A 3,652-nucleotide genomic window follows, 5' to 3' on the forward strand; every position below is an offset into this window, starting at 1 on the left:
AGGTGGATCACTTTGACGCCAGGAGTTCGAGACCAGCCCAGCCAACATCGTGAAACCCCATCTCTACTAAAAATACAAAAATTAGCCGGGCATGGTGGTGTGCACCTGTAGTCCCAGCTACTCTAGAGGCTGAGGCAGGAGAATTGGTTGAACCTGAGAGGCAGAGGTTGCAGTGAGCTGAGGTCGTGCCACTGCACTCCAGCCTGGGCGACAAAGCGAGAACTAGTCTCAAAAAAAAAAAAAAAGAAGAGGGGAGCAAATGGATATGGGAGAAAATTGATCAATTCTAAGAAAGCAGGAGAGGAGAAGGTCCAGTGGCAGCTGGCTGCACTGAGATCTCGTGTTTGTGCTGAGATCTCGTGTTTGTGCTGAGATCTCGTGTTTGTCCTGAGATCTCGTGTTTGTCCTGAGATCTCGTGTTTGTGCTGAGATCTCGTGTTTGTCCTGAGATCTTGTGTTTGTCCTGAGATCTCGTGTTTGTGCTGAGATCTTGTGTTTGTGCTGAGATCTCGTGTTTGTGCTGAGATCTTGTGTTTCTGCTGAGATACTGTGTTTGTCCTGAGATCTCGTGTTTGTGCTGAGATCTTGTGTTTGTGCTCACCGTGACTTTTCCTTACCCATTCCAAGCAGGAAGGCAGCATGGCAGGTGAAAAAGTGAGCAATCTTAGGCAGTGCCCTTCCTGGCTCTGTGCTTCCTGACAGGCTGGTGCTGGGAACAAGGTATGGAAGTAGAAGTTCTGAGGAAAGGAAGAGAACTCTCCCTAGATTGGGAAGGGCTGAGGGTGTTGGGCTGCCCAAGTTGTGAAATATTAGTCAGGACTCTTCTTGCAGAACCCAACTTCAGGGAGCTGAAGGTTAAAGAGAATTTAATGACTTAGGCGACTGTGAACCTGGCTCAGACATGGCTGAATTCTGTTTCTCAGAAGGACCTGGTCCCTTTCTCCCCATCCTGTGCCTGTGCTGACCAACATGCTGGCTTCATTCTCCATCAGATTCTGTCCCTATAGAATATTCCCAGTATGGAGGCTACAGCCCACCGAATTGAAGTCCAACGACAAAACTTCTTGGAGAGGAATCCCAGGGCCTGACTTTCATTCATTGCTTCGAATTGGCCTAACTTAGGTCTGGAGCTTAAACAATCACTTTCCTTCAGGACGGAGGGGGTAGAATAACACCTTCTTCGATCTGGGGGAACATAATCTGGGATGGGGAAGGTGGCTTCCCAAAGAGAAAGTGAAGGTCTGTTACCAGAAGAAGGGAAGCTGTATTGGGCAGAGAAAAACATCAGATGTCCATTGCTGTACTCCATGGAAACTGATAACATCCGAGCAGTTAACAGCTTCTGAGGGGCATAGCTGCCGGGGAAGCCTAGGGAAACTCCCTGTCAGCCCCTGGAGACTCCCAGCCTGTGCAGGGATCCCTGTACTCCATGTGGCACAGAACCTAAAACAACTGGATTCCCATAAAAAATGAACCTCGACTTCTATCTCACTCCAACTGAAAGGAATATTTATTTATTTCTATCTAATTTTTAGATAGGGCCTCACTTCACTCTGTTGCCTAGGCTGGAGTGCAGTGGCACGATCACTGCTCACTGCAGCCTTGACCTCCCTGGCTCAAGCAATCCTCCCACCTCAGCCTCCTGAGTAGCTGGGACTACAGGCACGTGCCACCATGCCTGGCTAATATTTTTTTTTTTTTTTTTTTTTTTTTTTGTAGAGACGAGGTTTTGCCATTTTACCCAGGCTGGTCTCGAACTCCTGGGCTCAAGGGTTCTGGCTGCCTCGGCCTCCCAAAGTGCTGGGATTACAAGCATGAGCCACCGCACCCGGCCTTGAAGGGAATATTTAGGTTTGATCCTTAAGGACATCAGCTGTTAGCTTAATGGACTAGAAAGCAGAGGTGCCCTCTTCCTTCTGACCCTTCCCCACCCCAGCAATTTTTCAATCTCCTGGCAAAAGATTCTTCTGCAACCACAAGGAAGGAAAAATTTAAGGAAAATCTTAGACTGATTTTCCTATCAGCATGGAGGTATGAGAGCTTAAAGTTAGAGTGAATTTTAATTCAAGAAAATGAAACCAATGTGTCATTCATGTTGTTTGTGGGGCTTCCATATTGTTTATGTATGGTGCCTGAAAATATTGCTCCTTGTACTATGTACTAAGTACTATAATTTAATACATATAGGCTTTATTCTCTAAAAAATCAAGGGTTCTCTATCAGTCCCTTTAAAGACAAGACTGAAGTTGAGGAGTCTTGAGGACCCACTCTCCAGGTGAATGTGTTGCTTAAAAATAAAAGGTTAGTAACTCTAGAAATAGACCCATCCATATATAGCCCGTTGATGTCTTACCAAGATGCCAAGGCAGCCCAACAGGGAAAGGAAAGTCTTTTTAACAAATTTTGTTGAAAAAATTGGATATTCATATGGGAAAAAGTGATCTTCAACTTCCACATCATTCCATGCATAAAAATTAATTTGAGCTGAATTATAGATTTAAATGTAAGATCCAGAACCATAAGCTTCTGGAAAAAATATAGGCCTTTATCTTCATGATCCTGTGGTGGACAATGATTTCTTGAACAGAATCCCAAAACTGTTAACCATCAAGTAAAAAATAGATAACTTAGACTTTATTAAAATTAAGGTTTTCTGCTTATCAAAAGATACTGGTAAGAAAATCAACAGATAAGCCTGGACAGATTGGGAAAAACATTTGCGGCATATATATTTGACAGAAGACTTTACTCCAGAATACATAGGACTTTTACAAATCAACAATAAAGAGATGAACAGTCCCATTTTAAAATGGGCAAAAGCTGAGGCAGGAGGATTTGCTTGAGTCCAGGAGTTTGACACCAGCTTGGACAATATGTTGAGATCCTGTCTCTACAAAGTAAAAATTAAAAAATTAGCCAGGCATGGTGGCGTGTGCCTGTTGTCCCAGATACCTGGGAGGCAAAGGTGGGAGGATAGCTTCACCCCAGGAGTTTGAGGCTGCAGTGAGCTATGATTGCACCACAGCACTTCAGCCTGGGTGACAGAGTGAGACTCTGTCTCAAATAAAAAATAAAACAATTTTTAAAACTTTAAAAAATGAGCAAAAGACTTGAACAGATGCTTCTTAAAAGAAGATATATTAATGACAATAAGACATGAAAAGGTGCTCAGCATCTCTTACCATCAATCATCATGCAAGTCGAAACCACAGTGAGTCACCACGTCATACCTACTAGAAGAACTTAAAGCAAGGAGCACAACAGGACAAAACAACCCTCCCCCTACCAAACTGACAACACCAAATTTTGGGAAGAATCCAGAGCAACTGGAATTCTCATTTATTGCTGGTGGGAATGTGAAATGATACAACAGTTTTGGGGGACTACTGTAGTTGACAGTTTTATATAAAGTTAAACATATGTTTAATCTTATGATGCAGATATTCCATTCCTATGTGATATGGTTTGGCTGTGTCCCCACCCAAATCTCACCTTGGATTGTAATTCCCATAATCCCCACGTGTCGGGGGAGGGACCTGGTGGGAGGTAATTTAATCATGGAGGCTGTTACCCTAATGCTGTTCTCGTGATAGTGAATGAGTTCTCACGAGATCGATGGTTTTATAAGGGGCTTCCCCCCTTTTGCTTGGCA

General features: G+C 43.7%; 1 annotated feature.

Annotated features, from left to right (window-relative positions):
* Positions 285-579: an enhancer, noted in NCBI's record as "tiled region #4133; HepG2 Activating non-DNase unmatched - State 3:PromF, and K562 Activating DNase matched - State 4:PromP". NCBI's record gives its function as "activates a minimal TATA promoter and a strong SV40 promoter by Sharpr-MPRA in HepG2 and K562 cells {active_cell/tissue: HepG2 | K562}" and the evidence as "EXISTENCE:reporter gene assay evidence [ECO:0000049][PMID:27701403]".

This window comes from Homo sapiens, chromosome 18, assembly GCF_000001405.40.
Source record: "Homo sapiens chromosome 18, GRCh38.p14 Primary Assembly".
Lineage (NCBI taxonomy): Eukaryota > Metazoa > Chordata > Mammalia > Primates > Hominidae > Homo > Homo sapiens.